The 27628-nt window shown below is 36.1% G+C and overlaps 1 protein-coding gene and 1 pseudogene across 14 annotated transcripts in view, besides 1 other annotated feature; one reads left to right on the forward strand and one right to left on the reverse strand.

Moving 5' to 3' along the window:
* The window catches only part of LYST (lysosomal trafficking regulator), a 222683-nt gene that overhangs the window by 53064 nt on the left and 141991 nt on the right, over positions 1-27628 (reverse strand). For 10 of the 14 annotated variants that reach the window (XM_011544032.2, NM_001301365.1, XM_011544031.2 and 7 more), the window contains 12 exons: positions 27328-27534; positions 20389-20565; positions 19736-19812; positions 19409-19597; positions 16938-17083; positions 16753-16849; positions 15502-15563; positions 13982-14037; positions 9934-10086; positions 6567-6811; positions 2618-2684; positions 1107-1263 (listed from right to left, as the gene is read on the reverse strand). In XM_011544032.2, coding sequence (XP_011542334.1) covers positions 1107-1263; positions 2618-2684; positions 6567-6811; positions 9934-10086; positions 13982-14037; positions 15502-15563; positions 16753-16849; positions 16938-17083; positions 19409-19597; positions 19736-19812; positions 20389-20565; positions 27328-27534 — 1633 coding nt within the window. Of the gene's footprint in view, positions 1-1106; positions 1264-2617; positions 2685-6566; positions 6812-9933; positions 10087-13981; positions 14038-15501; positions 15564-16752; positions 16850-16937; positions 17084-19408; positions 19598-19735; positions 19813-20387; positions 26568-27327; positions 27535-27628 lie in introns of those variants that run through there. The other 4 variants (XM_047443040.1, XM_011544037.3, XM_047443046.1 and 1 more) reach the window with 3 other exon arrangements.
* Positions 7108-8307: an enhancer, noted in NCBI's record as "BRD4-independent group 4 enhancer chr1:235884502-235885701 (GRCh37/hg19 assembly coordinates)". NCBI's record gives its function as "activates an origin of replication core promoter dependent on BRD2, P300/CBP, MED14 and CDK7 cofactors, and independent of BRD4, by STARR-seq in HCT116 cells {active_cell/tissue: HCT116}" and the evidence as "EXISTENCE:reporter gene assay evidence [ECO:0000049][PMID:35650434]".
* Positions 23801-25515, forward strand: LDHAP2 (lactate dehydrogenase A pseudogene 2; annotated as a pseudogene).

Genomic DNA, 27628 nt, shown 5'->3' on the forward strand with positions numbered 1-27628 from the left:
TTCATCAAGAGCATTCACAAATCAGAACATGTCCAGAAAGATCTTCAGAATAGTGACAGGCTTGGAAACCACAGCAAACAAGGATGGCTTAAACATTGGTTTTAAAAACTCTTTATTTAGTACAAAACTGTCCTATTTATTTTTTGGTATTCCTTCCAGCAGCTGGGATAGGACCATGCATCCAGGAGGCCCTCAATCTGCCGTCAAATTAACCAAGGATAATTAGCCAGGGGAAAAACAAGAGAGAGAGAGAAAGGGAACAGGCCAACAATTTTCAAATATTTGAACAGCTGTCATATAGAACATTTGTTCTGTTTACTTACAGAGAGACAAACATAGGAAAGCCCCTTTTATAGACCAATAAGAGTGAATACAAATTCATTCCTCCAATAGGTTGTACATGAGTAAAAAGCATGAAGTAGTTCAAGAATGGTTGAGTAAAAGAATGGATAATGATTCCTCAAAGTATTCTGGATTCCATGAGAAACAGCTATAGAACTAATATCACCGTTCTCATTAGAAACTACAGGTGAGTATGTCCCAATCTCCACAAAAATACAAATTCACTCCTATCTAAGTCATGTTCAGGCCTCCAGTCTGTCACTTAAAATGCTGATGTAGAAGATTATTAACTACAAAGCTACCACAGTGAAGTTGCCGGTGTGCGTCTTTTATTAACTAGTTATAATAAACCTCAATAATGTACTTGCCTTTATAATAAACTGCAATAATGTACATAGGCTCCAAAGGTAACTTACTGGATTTGAAATAAGTATTAGGTAGAATGTCTTTAAAAAGTGAACTGCATAAACTTTAAAAGGGTAAATTTTATGGTTTGTGAATTATATCTTAATTTTTAAAAAGTGAATTGCATTTTTATAAACTTAGACATTTAATTTGAAGCTAAAATTTGAGACATTAGCAAGATGATTTGGCTTACTACAGCTTTTTTGAGGAGCACTTTGGGCAAGGAATAAATAGAATTCTTTTTCCTGTAGTTTGATTAGTCTTAATAGTTCTTAAAATGTCAGTCCTAAGTTGTTGTTGTTGTTGTTGTTGTTTCTGATGACCCAACATGACTTTTTAGGCAGTTATTAAATTCTTACCTTGATAGGCTAAAAACATTTTAGTGAAAGGAGGCATCCTGACCAGGAAGTGAAGCACAGTGCCGCTATTGGAATAGTGGGAGCCATAGTGATAGGGCTGCACGGGAGGCATGGGGTCATCTTCTCTGGCTCCTTTGCGGTACTCTTCCTCCAAGTACTGAAAGAAACGGTGAATCCAGAGAATTCATGATTGTGGGCTCCAGGCAACGCTAGAAAAGTGCTGGATGTTTTTTTTTCTCTCCTTCTCTACTACCCCTTTGAGGCCATTCTCCATGGCTGGCCCTCCCACTCTTACCCAGGAGACTTCAGCCTCCTTGAGTGTCTGGGAGTCTTCTCCTTGGTGCCTCACTAAGACCCAAACACTCAGAAGCATTTCTCATCTCCACCTTCACTCTTTCATTCCCTCATAGAAAACCTACCTAACTTTGAGCACTCCACCTCCTAACTAATGGCTCATAATGTCTAAGCTGATCAAGCACCCAACAAATGAGAGGTGCTTCTGTCACTAGAGATGTCTTCATTTCAAAAGAGTTTCAAGATGTAATGCTATGCTGTCTAGAGAACTGCTTCTCTAGAAGTAGAAATGCAATAGAAATGTAAAAACTATGTCACATTATTGGTAATAATATAACATTTTAAGTCTGTTTTACAGTGCAGTTATCAGAGATAAAAAAAAAAAAGAATATGGTGATTTTTCACTACTCCTATCTTCCCATCATAAAGTAGGAAGTTCAACCAAACATTTAATATCTGTCACTATTCTTGTCTCCCATAGCTTCTGTCTGGTTCTGATAACAAAGTCAGGTATAGTGAATTTTCAAGAGTTACTTCTTGATTTCCACAGCAATGACGCATTTTCAACTGCTGAAGAATCAAGTAGTGACAGTCATAAGATGCTTAGAGGGATGTTTCAGGAACTGTGGCATAAAATAATGTGATGAATATGAGAAAAGTGTTTCAGTTGCTCCTGTCTTGATACTCGTGAAGAATGTAATGCGTAGCTATTGTGATTTTTGAATTTCCAATAGAATTTCATTAATATTAATTTCACAGAAAAAGGTAATTCATTTTATTTTTAAAATGTTAAAATCTGATAAATTTTTGTTTAATAAACCAATGCATAATTTCCTGAATATGACTAATGGTTATGGGTACATTATAAATATATTAACACTATTACATAAATAACACTAGGGGATACGAATAGCAGGTCCCTGGAAATCTTTGTGATTTTTATAAGGAATGTGACTACTAAATACTGGAATAAACAATGAGTTACTGGCTTTCAATTTATGCCAAAATAAGTGTATTCTTTTTCTGGGCAAAGTGTTCTCAGAAAATCAGGATAGAAAATGATATTTCATTTCACATAATGATTTCTAGTTGTCTGTCAATCCTAGTACAAGAAGGTAAAAAATCCATAGTATAAATTTAAAATTAGGTAAAACACAAGTCTGTAAAACAAAACACAATTTTTCATTTAATAAAGTACGAGTAAAAACAAAAGCTACCTTGTATGTGTCCACATAACGATCTTCTTTTTCTTTATACTGAACAGCTATAGGTTTAGAGAGATTTCTGCAAGAAAAGGACAATTTTAAAAATTAAATATTTTGATACTGTCAAGATTAAGCTCCCTAGATGTCTGCATCTTGTAAGTAGGTAAGTGGTCAACAAAATGCTCCACCCTTATTTCTCTGCTTAAACATATTGTTTTGTAACTAACAGTCACCATTCAAAATTATGATTTCAGAAATTAAGGTAGAATTTTCCCCACAGAGCCAGGCCAGTATTAGGAATTCCTGACTTACAAGTAGCCTAAATAAGAAGGGCTACTACTATCCTTCTTTCCCTTACTTCTGCAGCTTCCTCTAGAGTCATAACTGATGTTGCTCGTGGGAGCAGATTCCTAGACCAAGCCCTGAAAGTTAGTGTCCCATTTTCCAGACTCTACATCCAGTTAGGCGGTGTAGAATGAAGGGCAGTTTCGACAGAACTTAGGAACAGAGGAAGATGCTGTGTTATTAGCCTAGTTAGTTAAAACTGAAGAAACAACACGTGCTTAAAATGACCAAGCTGAGATTTGGAGACTGAGAACTGAAATAAATATTTTGCTACCTAGTTAGTAGATGGGGAGTAATACCATTGCGCACAGTGTAGAGTATGTATGCATGCGTACAAATCTGTCAGTGCCGGTGTTCACATTCTGTGAACACCACATGACACCATTCCTTGAAGCAGGAGAATGAATTCTCATCCCTCCAGGAATGAATCCTCACTTTTACAAGCTACAGAATCATGTGGTGTCCCTGTGTGGCACTTGAAGGAGCAAAAGAAAAAGCTCTGATGAAGAAGGGCAGGCTCTTTTGGCTGAGGAACCATCTGGTCTGGCACAGGCATGGGACCACCTGGATTTCAACCTGCAGCACCATAACTAGACCAACAGCAAGATTTGCCTACATTTCAGTGAGTCAAACCAGGTCTGCTTAACCACATGTTGATACATCTTTTTTTTTTTAATATAAATTACTATTTTCTAGGAATGTTGAAATTAGTTGTATTAAATGCACTAATTTTGTCTTTGAGATTTTTCTAATCATAAAAACCTTGTTAAAAAGCAAAAACAATTTATAGAATAGATACAAATTAACATCTAAAAACAGAGCAAAATCACTTAAGATGGCTGCCTACATTTTTTTTTTTTTCACTCTGGAGTGAAGTGGCGTGATCTCAGCTCACTGCAACCTCTGCCTCCCAGGTTCAAGCCATTCTCTTGCCTCAGCCTCCCAAGTAGCTGGGACTACAGGCATGCACCACCACGCCTGGCTAATTTTTGTATTTTTATTAGAGATGGGGTTTCTCCATGTTGGCCACGCTGGTCTCAAACTCCTGACCTCAGGTGATCCATCCACCTCGGCCTCCCAAAGTGCTGGGATTACAGGCGTGAGCCACCACGCCTGGCCTGCAATTTTTTATAGATAGTATAAATAGGGGTTTTTTTTTTTGGACACAAGCTATGTTAATAGTTGTAGCTGAAAAATACAAAATTACAGTTGAGCAAACAATAAACTAAAAATCAGCCACAATACTATTACCCTAGGCCACACATGTTGGTCTATACACACCCAGATGTTTTTGTATTTATCTGTGCAAGCATATTCACTTTTTTTTTTTTTCAGACAGTTTCACTCTGTCACCCAAACATGATCTCAGCTCACTGCAACCTCCGCCTCCCAAGTTCAAGTGATTTTCATGCCTCAGCTTCCTGAGTAGTTGGTCTCGAACTCCTGACGTCAGGTGATCTGCCTGCCTTGGCCTCCCAAAGTGCTGGGATTACAGACTTGAGCCACTGCGCCCAGCTTAAATCTGATTTCTTGAGAACTGTCTGAATTAGGCCCACTCTTTGGCACTTACAGCTGAAATACTCTAGTATACTAAGTGAAATATTTGGAGTCCATTTTTCTTTAAACTAAACATCAGAATATTTTTTCATATTAAACGAACAAAATATTCCCTCATCAACTAGGACTATTTGGTTACTCTAAAATACAGTTCATTCAGGAAAGGCAGAATAAATGCTGAATTCTGTTCCTTTAATTGCCAAATTTCAAAGTAAGGAATTGGTGCCCTATTACCTCTAATGGGACCAATGAATTTTGTTTCACTGTGTTTCCTTGGCCTTTTAAAAAGTATCACTATGACCTTACGTTTCTTTTTATTTCCATGTGTTTCAACTAATTGCAGTCATTATTCTTTTTATTCTCAGACTATCCTATCTTTGGCAGCGAGAGGCACTTCAAGTTGGCTTCTGAGTCCTTTTCTATTTTTATTTTTTGAGACGGAGTTTCACTCTTGTTATCCAGGCTGGGGTGCAGTGGTGCAATCTCGGCTCATCGCAACCTCCCCATCCCAGGTTCAAGCAATTCTCCTGCCTCAGCCTCCCAAGTAGCTGGAATTACAGGCATGTGCCACCACGGCCGGCAAATTTTGTATTTTTAATAGAGTTAGGGTTTCACCATGTTGGCCAGGCTGCTCTTGAACTTCAGGCCTCAAGCCATCAGCCCACCTTGGCCTCCCAAAGTGCTGAGATTACAGGAGTGAGCCACCACGCCTGGCCAACTTCTGAGTCCTTTTGACAAGACCATATTAGTTTCCTCGCTTTCTGACACAACAAAACATCCTAGGCTCACCTTGTCTATTTTCTTCTAATAAATTTAGAAGAAATGAGAGAATGGGAAATCAACATTTTGCAACCTCTAGTGAAATAATTGATTCAAGCAATAATCATCAATGGATGAAACCATTAGGTACAAATTCAATGGGAGCCTGAGCCCACAGATCAAACTGAGCACCATTACAGTGGAATATCATAGGCTTCCTGATATGATACAATATAAAGCTCACTCCTCTCAACCATGCAGAATGATAAAAAAAAAAAAAAGGAAAATATATATAAAGCTCACATCACCACCTATAAAGGATTCTTGCCAAAAAAAGAGTTGAACCTGAAACTAAGCAAGACTTTTCCAGTCTCTAGGAAATACAGGGGTTATGGGAACAAACCAAACGACGTCATGGGAAGCAATCAGAAAATACAGAATGTGAAGCCTCCAAAAGAATAAGTGACCTGGTTTTTCCAACAAGTCAATGTCAGGAGAAAATAAAGAGAAAAAATACACATAAAAAATAATGGCTGGCTGGGTGTAGTGGCTCATGCCTGTCATCTCAGCACTTTGGGAGGCCAAGGTGGGTGGATCACAAGGTCAAGAGATAGAGACCATCCTGGCCAACATGGTGAAACCCTGTCTCTACTAAAAATACAAAAATTAGTTGGGCATGGTGGCAGGTGCCGGCAGTCCCAGCTACTCAGAGGCTGAGGCAGGAGAATCGCTTGAACCCGGGAGGCAGAGGTTGCAGTGAGCCGAGATTGCGCCACTGCACTCCAGCCTGGTGACAGAGTGAGACTCTGTCTCAAAAAAAAAAAAAAAAAAAAAAAAAAAAAGGCTATTCTAGGTATATGTTCAGAGATATAGCAACCAAACATGACAATGGACCTGATTCAAGACAACCAACTATAAAAAGCTATCTTTGAGAGAAGCAGGGGACATTTGGAAATGGACTAGATATTAGATGATATCATGGAATTATTGTCAATTTTCTTACATGTGATAATAGCACTGTGGTTGAGATGTTCTATTTTTTAAAGAGATGCATACTGTAGAACAAAGAAGTGACATAACAAGATGTCTGCAATTTGCCTTAAATAAGAAAAAAAAGTTAATGTAAGTTTGGCAAAAATCTTCATAATTCACAATTGTTGAACCAGGGTGATAGGTATGTGGGGTCTTATATAATTCTTCTATTTTGTGCATGTTTGAAATTTTTCATAATGAAAACTTTAATAAAGAAATACAACATATGGATGGATGAACCCTAAAGGTGATGATTCTTTTAACTTACCTGTATATCAACAGATCATTGAGGTCAAGTGTCTCACTAACGTAGTCAGCAAGTATAAATGGGAACACAGGATACTGCATGAGATCATTGAAGGATCGGCCAGCATGTTTGTTTAAGTGAGTCAAATATTCAAAATTAGTAATTTGCCCAGTATACCATAAATTTGTCAGAGCGGTGATGTTACCATATTCCAGAAGATTAGGGAGGTTATTTGTGAGTATATTGTGGTATACATCATCACGAACCTAAAAGGGAAGGAGAAGAAAAAAACCCAGATATTATTTTTAGTCTTATTGGCACTTTTCTCCAAAGAACCCATGACATTATAGACATGTTACAAATCTCATGTCCTCCAAAAAAAGATTTTTTTCTCAGTAACATTAATGGGTAGAGAACTGAGATTCAAGTCCAGGTTGTCCTCCAGAGGCTGGGCTCTTCACCACTATGCTTTACTGCTGCAGAAATATGTTAATAAAAACCTTCTAAGAAAAAGTTTGTATAGAAAAGTCACTTAAGACACAGATACTAAAAGAAAAAAAAATAAGGAAAAAAGAAGAGTTTTCTTCTAAATAAATGCAATATGGTGTAGTAGAAACAGCACGGTCTTCTGAATTGGACAGATCTGGTATATTTTCCTGCTAACCTTCTGTGCTACAGTTACCATGTCTATAATATGGGAGTGATAATATTTCTCTCATAAGAATTAAATAAAGTATCCTATGTAAATAGGATATTTGATTTTCACTACTGATTGAAAACATATATAAACTCTTTTTTAGAGATTCACAATAGTTTTGTCACAGAAAAGGGGTATTGGTTCTTTTAAAGCAATTAAATAATGATTGCTAATAAATGAAAAAAACAGACAAGACGAGCTTTGCTAAAAACAGATATGAAATACCCATTCTAAGCAGGTATATGCTTCAGACACAGGAAGAAGAGCCACAGATATGGATAATGAGAGAGTGAACTTAATGAGGAAATGTACTGGTAGTTGTGGAATAGGCAAAACCACAGAGAATAGAACATCCTAAACCTGTAGCCTAAATCTGAAGTTTGCCAATTGTTAGCGCTAAGGTCCACGGAAGGGGATTTATGACAGACTATAAGCCAAGCCCTGGAAGGAAAAGGAGGCATTCATTTATTCAACAAATATGAACTGAATACCTACATACCAGTAGTGTTCAAAATTCTGAAGAACTGGAACTTAACAAAGTAAAGACTTGGCATTCTACTGGGGAGAGGCAGAAAATGCTGGATGCTAATACATCCTATAGAGAAAAACAGACCAAAGTAAAGGAGGTAAGGGGTGCTTGGTGGAGAGGGAGGGGTGGCTACTTTATAGAGTCAGGGAGGGCCTCTCTGATAAGAAGATATTTGATCAGGAAACTTGAAAAAGTGACAAAGCAAATCATTAGGATTTCTAAGGAGAAAAACATTCCAGGCAACAATGAATGCAAAGTCCCCGAGGCACTGGTGTGCCTGACATTCAAGGCATGGATGGAGTAGACAGAGCGAGGGAGAGAACAGCAGACAATGACGTCAGAGAGGTAACAAGGTACGAGATTATCCAGGGCTTTATCAGGTTATTGGAAGGACTTTGCCTTTAACTGAATGTGACATGAAAGTGATTGAAGGATTCTGAGCAGAGAAAAGATATGATCCAACATACTTTAGCTGCTGTGTTGAGAATAATCTGAAGGGGGGCTAAGGGGCTTTCTATAGAGGAGAGCAGAGAAATGGTAGTGAAGGGACTGGAGGTCAAGAAAGGGTTTGTCAAAGTCATTGTAGCTGAAAGTCACTACAGCACTGAGCAAGTTTTTTGTTTTGTTTTGTTTTGTTTTAGATGGAGTCTCACTCTGTTGCCCAGGCTGGAGTGTAATGGCGTGATCTTGGCTCGCTGCAACCTCTGCTTCCCAGGTTCAAGTGATTCTCCTGCCTCAGCCTCCCAAGTAGCTGGGACTACAGGCATGTGCCACCATGCCCCGCTAATTTTTGTATTTTTAGTAGAGACGGGGTTTCACCATGTTGGCCAGGCTGGTCTTGAACTCCTGACCTCATGATCTGCCCGCCTCGGCCTCCCAAAATGCTGGGATTACAGGCATGAGCCACTGTGCCCGGCCCTGAGCAAGTTTAAACTACTTCGTTTCAGTCATTTTGGGGAATCAGAATTTAACACAATTTTGGAGGTCAAAAATAATCATCATATAACCAAGGCTTTCCTTTAATTAGGACTAAGAAATATGGCAATTTTTATTTGATTTCAGAAACAGTATGGATGCAGGAAGGCCAGTTAGGAGGCTACTGTAAATGATTCTGGCAAGAAATGATAGTGGCTTAAACCAGGATGGTAGCAGTGGAAGCAGTCAGACTCTCGATGTATTCTGAGGACAGAGCCAACAGAACCTATTAATAGAGTGTATGCAGGGTATGAGAGAAGAACAAGAGTCTTGGATAATCTCAAGAGTTTTGGCCTGGGCATTGGAAAGATGGAGTTGTCATTTACTGAGATAGAGAAAACTGGAAGGAAATTATGGGGGGAAGATTAGAAGTTCAGTTTTGTACAGGTTACGTTTGAGATGTCAATTAGTGACTTCTAAATGGAGACATCAGTCGGGAGTTACAATATGTGAGTGTGGCATTCAGGGGAGAGGTTTGGGTAGTGACATAAATGTGTAAGTTGTTAGAATACAGATGGTATTTTAAAGTCATAAGACTGGATGAGAAGAGAAGAGGTCTGAGGAAGGAGCCCTGCAACACACCAAGGAGGCGTCTGCAACCAAGACTGAGAAGCAATGGCTGGTAAGGTATAAGAACTAAGAGAAAATGGTAACCCAGAAGCCCAGGGAGGAAGGTTTTATTTAAGGAGAGAAAAATCAGCTGGGTCAAATGCTGCCAATAGGTCAAGTAAAATGGGGACAAAGAAAGATTATGACATTACGGGTTTAGCAACATAGAGGTTACCGATGACCCTGACGAGAGTGGTGAGAAGTCTGTCTGAAGCATTTCAAAAGAAAACTGGAGGCAGCAAGCATATGCAACTTTCCCCAACAGTTTTTCCATAAAGGAGAGCAGAGAAATGGTGGCCGAAGGGATTAGAGGTCAAGAGAGTTTGTCAAAGATGGACCCTGCTACAGCACTGAGCAAGTTTAAATTACTCCTTTCAGTCATTTTGGGGAATCAGAATTTACCTCACTGTGGAGGTCAAAGACAATCCTCATATAACAAAGGCTTCACTTTAATCAGGACTAAGAAACATGGCAATTTTATTCGATTTCAGTAAACCTTCATGTAATCAGTATGAGTATAGTTACAGTGGCCCATGAGCACTTAAACAATATATATCAATTAATAAGGGTGAATTTACCTTGGTGTTATCAAATGCCAACAGGAGTGTTCTGCCATTTGTTAGAAAGATTTCTACAGCATTATCTCTCAATTGCCACCAACGCTTGTGAACTTCTTTAATTTCTTCATATGTCCAGGAAAATGATGCTGGTTCCAACTCTCCCTGAAGGCTCTAAGACAAAGAAATAGGCAAAAATATTTGTTTTACCGGAAATATAAATAATTACTTTAATTTTAGATTTTAAAAAGCATCAAAATAAAACAGAAAATCTTTTTGTGGCAGATGGCAGATAAGATTACCTGAAAACTCTCCCAATGCAAAACACCTCAAAATGAATGATAAAATTTAGAAATAAAAAAAATAGGCTTTATTTTTTAGACTAGTTTTAGGTTTACAGAAAATTGAGCAGATAATACAGAATTCTCACGTATCCTCCCCTCCCTTGGCCCTGCACTCACAGTTTCTCTATTATTAAATCTTGCATTTGGTGTGGGACACTAATTACAATTGATGAACCAATATTGCTACAATTTTTCTTACCTAAAGTCCAGAGTTTATATTCACTCTTTGTGTTGTACATTCCATGGGTTTTGACAAATGTATAATGACATGTATCCACCAAATAGTTTTATTGCCCCAAAAACCCTCGGTACTCCACCTACTCATCCCTCCTTTCCTCTCCCCAATCTCTGGCAACCACTAATTTGTTTACTGTCTCTATAGTTTTGCCTTTTCCAAAATGTCATATAGTTCGAATTATACAGTATATAGCCTTTTAAGGTTGGCTTCTTTTACTAAGCAAATATCCTTTTAAATACATAGCTGAGCTTGCAAGAAAACAAGGGAAATGACATCCCCAGAAGTCAAAAATGTAGAGGAACTGGAAAATCAGCACTAAGCAGGGAGTGATACTCTGGTTGCTCTGTTGTATGTGTCTGCATATGCATGCATGTATGCACATACCCCAGTTTCAGAAACAAATTGACGTAGGTTCACAGCAACTTGAGGACAGAAGATGAGGCCCTGGGCCCCTAGAATCAGGGTATGGAATTGAGATTGCTTCAGAAAGCTAAAACCTAGGAAGGGATTTGTTCCTAATGAAAGATTAGACAAACAAATGTGCCCATCAATAAAGGGGAATAGGCCGGGTGCGGTGGCTCATGCCTGTAATCCCAGCACTTTGGGAGGCGGAGGCAGGCAGATCACTTGAGGTCAGGAGTTCAAGACCAGCTTGGCCAACATGGTGAAACCCCATCTCTACTAAAAATACAAAAATTAGTCGGGAGTGATGGCAGGCACCTGTAGTTCCAGCTACTCGGGAGGCTGAGGCAGGAGAATCACCTGAACCCAGGAGGCGGAGGTTTTGGTGAGCCGAGATCACGCCACTGCACTCCAGCCTCAGTGACAGAGTGAGACTCTGTCTTAAAAAAATAAAAAATAACAAAATAAAAATAAAGAGGATTAACCAGGAAGCAAGCTTGTCTCTTTTGGCCTGGAGCCTAGAGCATAGAAAAAAAGCCTCTCTCTGAGAATTCATAACTGTGGGCCTGCCATCATATAGATTTAGGTTAAATCCATGTCTGGATGGCCTGGAAACGCCCGAGCTGTGAAACAGTTCTCATGCTTCCGAGTCATTCAGCAAAGGGAAAGCAGAGTCTCTGGAGGAGCATTCCTGGAACTAATGGGGCATTCCTGCAAATAAAGCCCCACTCACTAAATGTAAGCTGACAGATCAACACATACCAAATAGATACATTCCCCTGCTAGGTGGTCAACAGAAGAAAAGAAGATGAGAAAAGAATCACTGGAAGGTTGAATCTGCTTGAGAGTATTAATCCTAGTGTACTCAGACAAATCCCCACATTCTGAAATGAAGAGGTAGGGACCACAGGGCCTACACATCCTACCATCACTAGGTCCCTCCCAAAGTACAAAATCAAGAAAAACTTAAAAAAAATGCATCTTAATCTTTTGTAAATTGTAACTGAATACATAAATTATGCTACTTAATGCTTTTAATAGAGAAATAATGAAAAGTTTCTACTAAAGTTTAAAACTAGCTAGAATTTATCTCCTCAAATCAACCTGCATCCTAGTTTTCTTTTTTAAATCAGTTTTTTTCCTTTTAAAAAAATTGCATTTACTTACTCTTCTGTGTTGACTAACAGGAAGCTCAGAGCAAATTTAGGACTCAATTGCCAAGAACTATTTTATCCTAGGCTCTTTATCTTTCCAAAACCTTAATTTTTTTTTTTAGATTCAGATTATCCTACTCTATGTGTGTTTTACTATTGTTCTTGGTCCAAAATAATTTTTATAAGTAGAGGCAGGGAATATATTATGAATAAAATAAAATGTCTTAATGAAAATGTAATATTTTCATACTTAAAACTGAATTCTTCCTTTGTTTAGTTTCAACATTCATTCAACATATATTAATTAACATCTATGCGCAAGGTACTCTGCTAAGTGCTCTGCATGAAATACATCTGTATGGGTCAAAAAGGGGGCATGAAATATTTGTACACACATTTGCACACACAACGCAAGATACCAAATGTTATATAAGAAGAACCAACATTACAAAAGTACATAGGAAAGAAGGATCTTTCAATCTATTGAGAAGCAAGGGCATTTTTAGATTTGAAAAAAAAATTTTCCTCTTTATTTAAATATAAAACACATTTATAGCATGCAAGTTGACTTAAAATTAAATGGTGTCTTCCCAGACCAAGTATTTGTGAATGTATCCTCAAGCACTGAAAATAAACCAACATATTCGACAGATGGACTCAGACTCTTCTGTCACCTCATGTCAAATGGAGTTAAACACAAATTGAGTAGAATTTTTAAGGGGAAAAACTGTCATCTTTTGGACATACAAAAAAGTTGTCTCATACATCAACTATTAAATTCCTTGGCTGATAAAAGGATCCATCTTGAAAAATAACATAACTATATTTTACTATCTGGGACATACCCTGTGGTAATTGCTATATAAATGAGAAAAGAATGCTGTTCATATTTCTGACTACTTTAAATACTTTCATGACTTTTTTTTTACATTTATTTTATAACCAAACTTCATGTTTTCACTCACTACTTTCTTTCTTTCTTTTTTTTTTTTTTTTGAGACAGAGTCTCGCTCTGTTGCCCAGGCTGGAGTGCAGTGGTGTGATCTCGGCTCACTGTAACCTCCGCCTCCTGGGTTCAAGCGATTCGCCTGCCTCAGCCTCCCGAGTAGCTGGGATTATAGGCGCCACCACCACAACTGGCTAATTTTTTTGTATTTTTAGTAGAGATAGGGTTTCACCATGTTGGCCAGGCTGGTCTCAAACTCCTGACCTCAGGTGATCCACTCACCTCAGCTTCCCAAAGTGCTGGGATTACAGGCGTGAGCCACTGCACCCAGCCTAATTTATTTAAAATAAAATATATATTAGTAATTAAACCACACATAATCTCATTTAGTATATCCTTAGGAATTCCCGGCTTTAGAACTTTTCTGAAACAAAAAGCTTATTTCTCCTATTACAGGAATCTCAAAAAATATTTTAATGGCATAAAAGATAATTCAAATAAAAAGCTTTATTATACAAAAAATATGTCTATTTTCTGATTAATATCAGTCTGTCTAGAATAATAACAATTATCATTATTAAGCTATGTGAATATCAGAATTACTTAAGTTATTCAATTATTTAATATTTTTCCTTTCTTTCTGAAGGCAAAGGTACTTGATAGTGAACTGGGAGTGGCAAGGAATAGATATTTGTTGCAACGGAGGACAGTAATAAGAAGGAATGAACATAAATTGATATAATAGGAGCATTTAGAATATGACTTATATTAACTGCTATGATACTTGGGCCATAAGCCAGAGGAGATGGTACAGTCTTCTTTTTAAAATTATATTTAAAAAAATGTTTGGAACTCAGACCAATCTATACATAGAGTGACAAAGAATGAACTCTAATAGTTCTTCCTTCTCTCTAGTTATACTGAATTGATACATTTTTGGAATCTGTCTAGATTTATGTAAATACAGACTTAAGCCTCTACTCACCGAACTTTCAACTGTATCAGAAGCATTATCTTCCACAAAATACATTCCACATTTACCTGCAGAAAGTAATTGGATATAAGGGTTTTAAAATGTATGTGCACACTACCATTCATGGTTTAATGCATGGTCTCTGGAGTCCTTTGGTCTGAATTTGAATCTCACTACCTCGACACAGTTCCTGGCACTCAATAAATATTTTTGAATAGTATCCATGAAGTCTTGGGCAAGTTGCTTTACCTCTTTGTGTCTTAATTTCTTTATTAAAAAAAAAGGTTGCAGGGAGCTCTATTTCACAGAGCTACTATGGAAATTAAATTAGAATATATGCAAAATGCATATGTGCTCAGTGCTAAATAAATGTTGGCTATTTATTATTACCATTATTCTTACATTACTAGCATATAGATTTGCTTTATTTTGTTCCACACTAATTGAAGTCAAGTGGTAAACCAAATTATCTAGCCAAAGGGAAATCCTTAATTATTTTGCAGACTGAGACACTCAATAGGGTAGAGTAGGCCCTAAACATAGCCTCCAACTTTTTCCTGTTTCATAGGCTGGCTGTTGCTAACCCATGTCCCTACATCGTGTTTTAAAATGTTGGGAACTTCTCTGAGGTTCCGCCCCCTGCATGCTCATCACCCTCGAGTAGTGAAGTAGTGAAGTAGTGAAGTAGTGGCATGGCTAGCTCAGAGAAGGGTACTATCTCCATCCTTGTGACGGTGGGGCTCAGTCCCAGCAGGCTTGAAGCTCCATATCTTGGACCTTGGAGGCTATAGCTTACAACATTCATTCTCGAATTTGAAGGTACATCAAATCACTGGAGGGCTCATCAGAACATAGACTGCTGGGCCCCACCCTCAGAATTTCAGATTCATCAAGTCTGGACTGAGGCGTGAGAATGTGCAATTCTAAGAAGCTCCCATGAGATGCTGATGCTACTAATTCAGGGTTCTCACACTTGGAGAACCTAGCCTACAGCATACAGATTGATTCTTTAAGGGAATAGAGATCAAGTGGTATAATTGTTTTCCTTCATATTTTGAGAATAAAATTTTCAAACAAATATAACTATATAGGTATCTATGGACTAACAATCTTGTCCTTTCTCTCAGAAGCACAATAGAGAATATAAATTATGGACAATCTTAAAATAGACATATTTCTTATGGACAGTTATATCTGATAAAATAGTAGGTAAGATATCAACAATTTTTCACTTTAAAAAATCTAAATTGGCATATAATAAAAGAAATGGTTAAATATAAATTTGCATATCATGAAGAAACAATTTTATAAAAACTAAAATGCTATTCATGTGCTTTTCAGAACACAAGATATCATTTCTTCACATTCATGACTCATATGCAATTACATATAATGTTAAGGCAAATTAGCCTATATGATACTACAGAAAGTTTATCCAATTTAATGGCATGCTGTCAAAAAACACTTTAAATAATCTAAGAATCAAATAAGGCAGGGTGAATATGTGCAAAATTCTTCAAAATTTGACTTACCTAGTAACAATTCACCAGCTGTCTCTCTAGATGGTGCAACACTGATGCATCTTCGATTCACTCTGTCAAAACATATTTAAAATTACTATGACTAAATGTTCTGACCAATTTCAGAGAGGATATGCTTTATTTTACCTAGTAAAAGATTTCTGCAAAGCAGACTAGATAGAGTTCCAATAGCATGAGGTATCTTGTCGAAACCCACATGAAAATATTAGCTCCTTTTTAGCATTCTATTAGAAGAGAAATGACTGAAACGCCTAGAAAAGGCTAATAATCCCTATAACCTGTAGACAGAATATAGAAATTAAGTTATTTAAAAGAGATATCAATATTTTATATTTTCTAATAAATAAGCAAACATTGTTTCATGCCTCTGATACTTCAGATACATTTTTTGTGTGTGCTCTATTTATTTTTGTATTATTATTTTGTATTATTTATTTGTTATATACTATTATTGTATTATTTACATTATTATGAAGGTAATTTATCAAATACATTTTTAAAAAAGCCTAGTATTCTAGGAAAAACAGAGGATTTGGAATCAGAAAGTTCCTTTGTGTTCTTAGCCAATTATCTTCTTTGTGTCTCAGTTTTTCATCTATGAAATGGGTATAATAACAACCACAATAACTGCAATGATAATACTATCAATAGTTAATATATAATAACATACTTAATACTCAACAACGCTATGATACCTATTATTATTTCTTCATTTAATAGATGAGGTAACTGAGACAGAGAGGTTAGGTAACTTGCCTAAGATTAAAGAGCTAGTAAGAGCAGGAACTGGAATCTAAACCTTTAATCACTACGTTATATTGCTGCTTGATGATACCACCAGCAGCTCTATCTATATTAATAGATAGAGATGTTAAACAGTCAATTACAAAATATGTGTGTGTATACATATATATGGGTATATATATATGTACCCATATATGTGTATATATATACATATTTATATGTGTGTGTGTGTGTGTGTGTGTGTGTGTGTGTGTGTGTGTGTGTGTATATGTAAACTAACAAGGGCCAGAACATGATGACTGAAATCCCATGAACTCTTGCTGTCAGAAATGTCATTTCCTTTTGGATTTTGGCCATATAACCTTGTCCTCCCTTGAGCCTTTCCTGTTTAGGATTTTTCTGAAAATGATGGCATTATATAAAATAAATATTACATAAACACTACAATAAGCTGTTGTATATTCATGAAAGAGTGAAGGTCTATTGATTCAAAGTTACCTTATAGATTCACTTGCAGCTTTGTCTTTGACAGTAGAAGAGAAAGAAGAATGAGTTTTGTCTTCAAACAGGTAAGAGAGTGGTGGTTTGACAACATCTGTTGAGGAGAAAAGTAAATATTATCTTTATCTAATGACCATAGTTCTCTGCTATATTTATATGTTGAGTCAAGAAGCCACTATTACCTTCTGATTTCTGTCTATCCCTAAGGAGATACTTATTTGGAATAGTTAAATAACATCTCTGTAAACGTCTCCTCTCTCGATTTGGCCCTTCTGTTGGATCCAACTGCCATGAGGTTGGATAGTAGATGGGGTCATACCATACTGCTCTGCAAGTAAAAAGATTAAAGGGTGTTTTAAGTGACCATCCAGGACTTGTAGCTATAAAAAAAATCATTATAGAGATTGAGTAAGTAAGTCACAACTGATCTGTTAATTTAAAAACTCCAAATGTTTATATATTTGATCAGGGAATGCATATACAAGTAGAAGTAATAAAATCTAAGTGTCTTTTTGCTCCTGAATCCCAGTCTCCCAGTTCCTCGCCTGAAGGCAAGCTCTGCTTCCAGTTTCTTTCAACTATTAAATTTTTTAAAAGATATGTAATGACTACTATGAACACTTTAGCAACATAATACAACATGCTGGATTTAATATGGTTAGGTAAATTTTTTTTCCAAATTAATTTTTTACATTTCCCATTTTGCATTTTTTTTTTTTTTTTTTTTGAGACAGAGTCTGGCTGTGTCGCCCAGGCTGGAGTGCAGTGGCGTGATCTTGGCTCACTGTAATTTCTGCCTCCCGGGCTCAAGCGATTCTCCTGCCTCAGCCTCCCAAGTAGCTGGGATTACAGGCTCCCACCACACCTGGCTAATTTTTGTATTTTTTTAGTAGAGATGGGGTTTCATCATGTCGGCCAGGCTTGTCTCAAACTCCTAGCCTCAAGTGATCCACCCACCTGGGCCTCCCAAAGTGTTGGGATTACAGGCGTGAGCGCCCTCACCTGGCCTCATTTTGCCTACTCTCTAATGAAACAAATAAAATCAATTTCTTTCTGTGGTATGAATCACATTTTTAAAAAGATTTTAAAATAAATTTTATCTTAGATGAAATAAGACAGGAAAAACATATTAAGTACATTTTTAGAAATAAATAAGAGAAAAAAATACCCTTATTCATACCCTAAACATACCAAAATACTGGTAGCGGTTGTTGTCTTTTTTTTTTAAAACGTGCATCTGTTTTTAATTTGTAGTTATGATCATTATGATCATTTTTCTATAACTTGCCTTATTTTACTGAAACAGTATTATCTTTATCTCATCATTTTGAATGGCTGCCCAATAAAGAGGTAGATGCATTGTAATGTATTTAACCATATTACGGTTTATAACTTGTTTCTAATTCATTCACTAGCATAAATAATGCAGAGATGAAAACTTTTATGTTTACTTTCTTTTTCTTTTTCTTTTTTGACAGGGTCTCATTCTGTTGCCCAGGCCAGAGTGCAGTGGCATGTTCATAGCTCACTGTAGCCTTGAACTCCTGGGCTCAAGTGATCCTCCCGCCTCAGCCTCCCAAAGTACTAGACTACAGGTGTGAGCCACTGTGCCTGGCCTGCCTTCCATATTTCGAATATTTTCCTTAGGATAGAATCACTAAAATAGGATAACTGAAGCTAGAAGTAAAATGTTTTTAGGATGATTAATACATATTGTCAAAATGTACAATGCCACCAAAGTTCTGAGTAAGGACAGCTAATATCCTGCGGTGAATATTAGCAGCCAAAATTTTTGTTAACATAAAAAGTAAAATGTGGTATCTAGAGGTTCTAGAAAACCAAATTAGCCTCTAGCAATATTGAATATTTTCCCGTGTGTTTGGTAATTCATTTGTCTTATGTGAGGAATGTGTTCATGCCTTTTGCTCATTCAAACTTCTGGGATCATAATATTTTACTTTAGAATCTGTGTAAGTTTTTCAAACAATAAAAATAACTTTATTTGCTGAAAATATATTTCCAGGCTTTTTTGTTCTTGTTATGGTTGTTAAATACACTGGAAAAAATTAAGGTTAAAATCCATTGATTTATTTGCAGTTTCTTCTATTGCATTTGAGCTTAGAAAGTCATCTATCCTTCAAAGAGTTGACAAATATCCTATTATCTTCTACTTTATAAACTTTTCGAGTAATTCTTTTATCCATATGGAATTTACTTTAGTGTCTAATGTTTAGTGTATTTTAGTACACCAAAGTCACATGAATAAGTTATCTTAACTAAATTTAGAGAATAATACCTTGATTTCCCGCTTTTTGTTATTTGTAATACATATTTTAAATTAGTTAGAAAAATATATTTTTCTCAACCATCCTGTTTCAGTGATTTCTCTATTCTTTTACAGACCATATTTTAAAATTAAGCTAATTTTACTATCTAGATGAGCTACTGCCCCCCTCATTACTTTTCTTCCTCAAGAATTAAAAAAAACTCATATGATTATTCTTTAAGATGAAAAAAACATCACAAATGATTAAACAAAAAATTGTTTAATGAAATGATTTTATGAGTCTGAATTCCGGAATACAAATTCCGTTTAACATCAATATCTTAAATCTTCATGGAAGACAATTTTAACTGACCTCCCGCAGCTTACCTATCATGTGTCAGCTGCTGAATAAGTTCCTGCCAATGTCTGCTGGCACTCAAATCTACTTTATACATTCCTCTAATATGCTGGATCACCTTTTTTCTCTCATTTCCTTGGGAGAGAGACACTGCCTGGGTGATATCTGCAGCTATTTTAGATATATCCTTTGATTTTGAATCCAGACGCTGAAAGAGACTAAACAAATAATAAGATTGTCCATAGTTAAGCATACATGGAACGTATTTATCAGAACATGATACTTTAAAACTAAAAGTATATGTGAAATCTAATGGATTCCTAAAATACATGCCTTTGGAACATATAAAATCTTACCTTTGTTGATTATTGTTAACTGTTTTCTGCCAAGCAGCTTTATTCACTCCTTCTTCAGTTTCATATTTCTTTTGTTCCTAGAAGATTTAGATAATAATATACTATATAAAATTTATTATTTCTCACCTAACATTGTCACAGAGCCCAACAAACTAATTTTAAAACCCAGTTAACAAAGGAAAAACAATTGTCCCTAGGAGACCAGAATATTAAAATAAATGAACCATCTAAACAATGTTATAATGTTATAATTCTGTGTCTATATAATTTAGGTCACATAAGTTAGAGTAGAATGGTTAACCAGGGTTGCTAAACCTGATGAGTTTACATAGTTGCTTGCCTCCTTACTCTGCTTTTTCATTAAAGAACCTCTAACTCAAGGTATGCTTCAGCTTGCTTGTCACTTTAAAAATCTTTCCTTCACTGAAGGCTACTGATAATGGATACTGATGACCACAGAGAACAAAATGCTCCTTAAAATAAGCCTATTTTTTCTCACATAGACAAAAGCAATATAGTATATAGGAAAAATAAAATAAAATAATCATTTCAAGTTCATCATCAATGATAGCCTGTTCTTAAAAAAGTAGTGTCAATCATTCTTTATCTATGATGGAATCTCCTAAGAAAGTACTATGGTTTCATTGACTCACCTCTTTGATCATTTTAATAAGGTCTGCTTTTGTTGATGCACTGGGAGGGATGCACTTGTGACCACATAACTTCAAAGCATTCATAAGCAGTTCTGCTGTGCCTAGCTCTTCTTCAGTCAATTCACCTTGGTGATTATGTATCAACTCTGACAAATACAAAACTAACTTGGCTCCATGCTTTAAAAAAAGTAATAATTTTTTAGTCATTTAGAATTTTAATTCTTACATTTAAATTACTTAGTAGTAATTAAATTATATTGCTAGATTTATTTGGTTGCATCTGATTTAAATAAAGCACCTACAAAAGACATTCTGAGGATAAGTACAGAAATCTGATTATGCACTGAGTATTTGATGACAGAGGATTAATGCTAATTTTGTTAGATGTAATAATGTTATGTTACATAGGAAAACATTTAAAAAAAAGAATTTAGAGGTAAAATATCATAATTTCTATATATATGTTAAAATAGTTCAGAAAAAGAAGAAATGATGTCAATATAATAAAAATAGTAACAACTGTTAAATCTAGGTGATGGTTCCATGGTATTTATTACGCTATTCTTTCTAGTCTCTGTATGTTTGAAATTTTTTCATATAAAATATATTTTAAAAAGCAAGCAAACTAGCCAGCTAGCTTTTGGGGAAAGAATTTTGGAAAGGACTTGCTAAAGGAATACAGGAAAGAAACTGGGATAAAGGAAGATAATTTTTAGTTTTTCTCACAGAAAAACTGAACTAGAAGGGAAAGCTTCCTTTAGACCTTAAAACTTACTGACTCTTCTTCCTTTGGTGAAATTTCTGGAACTAAAACCTATCTTTAGTTTGTAAGCATTCACTACTCCCTAGAACAAAAGGTGAAAAACTCGCAAACCCCACGCAGACAATTCTATGTATGTATCCATGGCAGAGTTGTTTTAGCCAATCTTTTATTAACAGGCCCTAAAACCAAAATTCACAGTGTTACTTAAGATAATGACAATTGGCCTTTGCAGCACAGACCTAAACCAAACGTTCATTCACGGTTTTTTAAGTGGCCCTTACATGCTGTAGATATTACACCTGATTCTACTGTGTACAGTATGTATTATTTAGACAATAATGTTGCCAACAAGTTAAACATATATATTTTACTTTAAAAATCAGCATTGACACAAATATCACTGTATTTAGTTTTATGACATTTTAAACTGTGAATAGTATTAAATGTCAGCAAATGGATCTGGAAATGATTACATTTTGGGTGATATTTAAATTAACATGCTGAATCACATCGTGTCATTTCCCAAAAGCAAAAGATGAACATATGCAATGGTGAAAATAGTACAGCTCATTTTAATGCAACATTTTAAATTAGTCAGAGACAGCTGCTACCTGACCAAAAGAGAAAAATGAACAGAAGCTCTGTGAGTAAAAGGCCTAAAGAGTTGGCAAATAAATAAAAACGGTACATGACTAAAAGACTTTCCTAAGTGTGTCTTAAAGGTAATGATCTTGATATAACTTTAAAAATATTTCAGTTTGGTATTCAATGACATTCAAAAATTATCTTGAAAAACTATCAGAAATGTTTTTATTCATTGTGAATATCAAAGGAAACACATGATTTTCTTAAACGCTTAAGTTGTTTCTAATATCTCATTTTAATACCCTCTGATCACTTACTGATGATCATTTCAGGGACTATAAAAGGTGTCACTGGGAATAGATAACAAAAAACTCTTATTTTCAGCCCTTAAAAAACTGATTTAAGGAATTGAATCTGTTAAACATGAATCCTTAGAAAATAATAAAGTGCTAAAATATGTAAAATATTTCTTTTCAAAGAAGGTTCTAAGAAGGAAGAGTTCTGAGTAGACTACAGAAAGGGAGAAAGGTTTTAAAGAAGGTATAGAGTGATCTGGGTCATGGCCAAATGAATGGATAGAATGAGGATATAGATAGACAAAGGAGAGAGAGGTGTTCTGTGCTGGTGGACAATATGAATAAAACAGCATGACTGTAAAAATAAACAGGATGTGAAGAGGTTGCAAGACACAAAGATATGATTATCTTGAAAAGAAGAGGGTCAGCAGGCTGGAGAGTTAATCAGAATCAAGTTGTAATGGCAAAGAAGTCTGGGGCTTAAAAAATCCAGGCACATTCCAAATGAAATACAAATTAAATGTATGCAGCTGTGAAAAGGCATAAAGAAGATCACTCTGTACTACTATGTAATAATGATCTCTAGGATATACTAAGTGAAGAAAGTAAGGTGCAGAAGAGTGTGTATACTTTGCTATCTTTCTTTGTGTTATGAAGTAGGGGACAGAATATTTACATGTGTAAATACATGTATACATAGATTTGCTTGTATCTTCAACAGAAAAAAAAAGTCAGTTACCTACACAGAGAGGGAAAAAATAAGAGGAGCGGAAAGGGATAAAAGCTAGAACCTCTCTGAATGTGCTGTTTCACAACGTTGCTTTTAGAACCATGTAGACATTTCACATGATTAAAAACAAAATTAAGCAAACAAACAAAAACCCAAAGGAATCCCAAAAAACTATAAAACAAACTGGAAAAAAAAGCCTACCTACCTATCTAATTGGTTGAAGTTGGCAGCCTGACCAAATAAAGAAAACTATTTTAAGTGCTTTTATAATACAGTATTTTCACTGTATAACCATAATAGTATGCTAAGAAAAAAAGAACCACAAAGACATCTTCAACTGCACTCAGCAGGATTGTTATTAGTGATCATGTTGATCATCTTATTTTGAAAATGTTATATATGTAGAAAGACAAGGCAAATAAGTGATTATGTTAATGTTAGGAACCAAGATATCAACATTAGTAAGAAATACAAATAAAAGAATCCAAGAAAAAGTGAAAGTATAAACTCATGACTTGTCTTTCTAAAAAAATACTTATTTCCTAGCTTTGTCCACTAAAAAAGGCTGAGAAGAAATGACAACCCAGGAGAAATAAACATACCTAGTCCTTAGATTTGTAGTCTCTAAATACTATCATCTCCTTAAAAGGATATAAGGTCTTCTTGGGAGGGAAGTTAGGTTCTAGGTTTGGGGAAGGAATTGCATAAGGTGGGCCTGGGACATTCTTCTGTGCCAGAAAACAAGGAAGTTTAATCATATTAACTTGTTAAAATGAAAAAGGCCATGTCGACACAACAACTTGAATCTACAGAGGTGTTAATTTTAATATCAAACTGAATAATGACTGCAATAGACTAAAACACATAACATTTATTTTAAAATACCTGAGCTCCTAATGACACTCCAAAAATAAAAACAAATACAAGAATTAGAGGCTACTAGGGGCATGAATTCATCATTCCAAAAATTAATAAACAGGGAAGGAAACAGCATTTATCCTGCTTTTCCTTGACTGACTGTATTTAAAGGTAGCGAAGGTGCTGGAGCCGCTGCCGACGAGTCTGGATCTCACTGCCGCGTGCCCCAACACCCGCCGGACGTGCATTCTCGATTCCTTTTGTTTCCAAGTCCAATATACTCTCAAGTATACGCTCAAGGATCAGCTTATTCACAGTCTTCTAAAGGAAGAACAGATCCTCCAGAATAAGATTACAGTTGTTGGGGTTGGTGCTCTTGGCATGGCCTGTGCCATCGGTATCTTAATGAAGGACTTGGCAGGCGAACTTGCTCTTGTTGATGTCATGGAAGACAAATTGAAGGGCGAGATGATGGATCTCCACCATGGCAGCCTTTTCCTTAGAACACCAAAGATTGTCTCTGGCAAAGACTATACTGTAACTGTAAACTCCAAGCTGGTCACTATCACGGCTGAGGCACATCGCAAGAGGGAGAAAGCCATCTTAATTTGGTCCAGTGTAATGTGAACATCTTTAAATTCATCATTCCTAATGTTGTAAAATACAGCCCGAACTGCAAGTTGCTTATTGTTTCAAATCCAGTGGATATCTTTGACCTATAGTGGCTTGGAAGATAATGGCTTTCCCAAAAACCATGTTATTGGAAGTGGTTGCAATCTGGACTCAGCCCAATTCCGTTACCCAATGGGGGAAAGGCTGGGAGTTCACACATTAAGCTGTCATGGGTGAGTCCTTGGGGAACATGGAGATTCTAGTGTGCCTGTATGGAGTAAAGCAAATGTTACTGGTGTCTCCCTCAAGACTCTGCACCCAGATTTAGGGACTGACATAGATAAGGAACAGTGGAAAGAGGTTCACAAGCAGGTGGTTGAGAGTGCTTACGAGGTGATCAAACTCAAAGGCTACACATCCTGGGCCATTGGACTCTCTGTGGCAGATTTGGCAGAAAGTATAATGAAGAATCTTAGGCGGGTGCACCCAATTTCCACCATGATTGGTGGAATAAAGGATGATGTCTTCCTTAGCATTCCTTGCATCTTGGGAGAGAATGGAATCTCAGACCGTGTGAAGGTGACTCTGACTCCTGAGGAAGGGGCCCATTTGAAGAACAGTGCAGATCCACTTTGGGGGATACAAAAAGAGCTGCAATTTTAAAGTCTTCTGATGTCATACTATTTCACTGTCTAGGCTACAATAGGATTTTAGTTGGAGGTTGTGCATATTGTCCTTTTTATCTGATCTGTGATTAAAGCAGTGATGTTAAGATGGATTGGGAAAAACATCAATTCCTAAGGTTAGAAATAGGAATGGTTTGTAAAATCCTACAGTATATTCTGTAGGTACTATATCCTGTAGGTAGCTATAACTTGTAGTACCATTCTGTAGGCTGGATGGTACTAATCTTGTGTAGTCCTAAACTGGTTTGTGTGAAATAGTTCTGACACCTCTAAGGCACCACTGCCAATGCTGCACATGCTGCAGTTGGCCCTTGAGCCAGATGGATGTTTACCGTGTGTTATATAAATAACTTCCTGGCTCCTTCATTGAACATGTCTAGTCCAACATTTTTTCCCAATCAGTCACATCCTGGATCCAGTATATAAATCCAATATTGCATGTATGGTGCATAATTGTTCCAAAGGATCTTATTTTGTGAACTATATATATCAGTAGTGTACATTACCATATTATGTAAAGAGATCTACATATAAACAATGCAACCAACTATCCAAGTGTCATACTAACTAAAACCCACAATAAACCTTGAACAGTGAAAAAAAAAAATAGAAAAAAAAAAAAACGTAGTCAAATAGTTGACAAGGGAAAGTTCTTCCCTATAGTAAAGTCAGAGCTTATAGATGCTGATGGAATGAGAGACTTAGAGAAATCACTATTTTGTAACTCTTTAATGAAAAAGTGGATCTTGGCAATTATCATCAGTGGCTGCTAAAACTATTAGGTTAAAGATAATATCCTCAGTCTTCGTGGGTGAATAAACAACTGGCCTTGGTGACGAAATGGATTGAGAAAGAGAAGAAAAAGTCAACGACAACCACAGTTAAAAATTTCAAGCTGAAATTCAATAATGATACCACTGACAGACACGAAGTAGTGGGAAAGGGAAGATGGTATGAGAAAAAGTGGACTGTTAACACCGCAGTTGAATTTTGATGGATAGCAACTTTGCTGAGTATAAAGGAAAGAAAAAAACACCATTTCAAATTCTCCACAGAAGGAAAATACAGGCTAAATATGCTTCTGTCTTGGGAAAAGGAAGACAGTGCCCTCAGTGTACTTGAAAGTGTCTTAATACTGGAAAAAGCACCTAAAAGTATTCCTTCCAGATAGTTTTGACTCCTAATATGATATGTGTTTTCCATGTATTAAAGGGGATACCTATCCTTTTTAATATATCCTCTCTCATCTCTATTGAGGTATAACTTACATATAATAAAGCATAGATATATTAAGTGTTTCTATGAGTTTTGACAATTGCATACATCCATTTAACCACTACTCAAAATAAGACCTTATTTTTATCACCCCAGAAAGTTCCCTTAAACCTCTTTCCAGTCAATTCCCTTTCTCACCGTCCCCCTTCCACAGAGACAACTACTGTCCTGAATTCTATCGTCATATCTTGGTTTTGCTTGTTCCTTCAGATGAATAGAATCACAGATTGTACTCCTTTGTGTTTGGCTGTCCCTTTCCCCACTCAATGTTTCTGAGATTCATCCATAATGGTAGATGTACCAGTAGTCTGTTCCTTTTTAGAGCTGTATAATAGTCTATATGGTGCTGTAGAATAGTCTATACAGATTTCTCTCTACAGGTATAAAGAAATCACAATGTGTTTGTACATTCTTCTGTTGATAAGCATTTGAATATTTGTAGTTTTTGGCCATTATGAAAAAGGCTGACATAGATATTCTTAAACAAGCTTTTTTATGAACATATGTTTTAATTTCTTTTTCAGGTAAATATCTAAAAATGGAGTAACATGGTGACAAGTTAAATATATGTTTAATTTTTTAAGAAACTGTTAAACAGCCCTCCAATATGGTTTAATGTACCTTTTAAACTTTCCAACTACCACTCTTGAAGTGATAAACTTTATACACTCTGAAATTCTTTTAGGTATTTTGGGTTTGATTATTCCAAATGATTAATAATTTTTATCTATTTTAACTGACCACATATATTTTTGAGATATGTTATATATACTGTTGTTTGAGCTATTCAATATAGATGTTTCACAGGTAATATAATGCTTTTTTAAAAAGCCTCCAAACAATCCTTAAATAAAACACTTCAAGATGTGTTAACACATTACAAAGTTTCTGACAGAAACTCTGAAACAGAACTTCTTAATTTAGGCACTAGAAAAAAGATTGGGAAATAAACACAGAGGTTAAATTGAGCCTGTGTGAAAGCACCTGAGAAAGACCTTAGGTTAAATTTGCTTGGTAAGAAAATTATATTTATAAATTAGGCATGAACATTCAGTTTAATTTCAGTTCTTGTTTTATTCAGACTTTGTATTTCACCAAACGTTTTACTTCTCTTATCAAAGCTGAGATACTTACTTGTAGGGATGGGCTGAGACAGTCTCGTAGTATTTCCTGATGATTTGGTTCATGAACTATTTCAAAAATTTGCTTTCTCTCTTGTGCAGCGTGGGCTGGCGACAAAATATGCACTAGTAGTCTCCCAAGCTGCATTCGGAAGGTCTCCTTACAAGACCACAGAATTTTAGTCCATTGCTGCTTGGAACCACTGGCTTTACTTGAACCCTAAAATCAATCAAGATAGGAATGAATTAGGATCAGACTGCTTAAGCAATACCATGCTAGCCTCAACACAGCCCTAAAGAAGATTATGGAACAC

This window comes from Homo sapiens, chromosome 1, assembly GCF_000001405.40.
Source record: "Homo sapiens chromosome 1, GRCh38.p14 Primary Assembly".
NCBI classification, from domain to species: domain Eukaryota; kingdom Metazoa; phylum Chordata; class Mammalia; order Primates; family Hominidae; genus Homo; species Homo sapiens.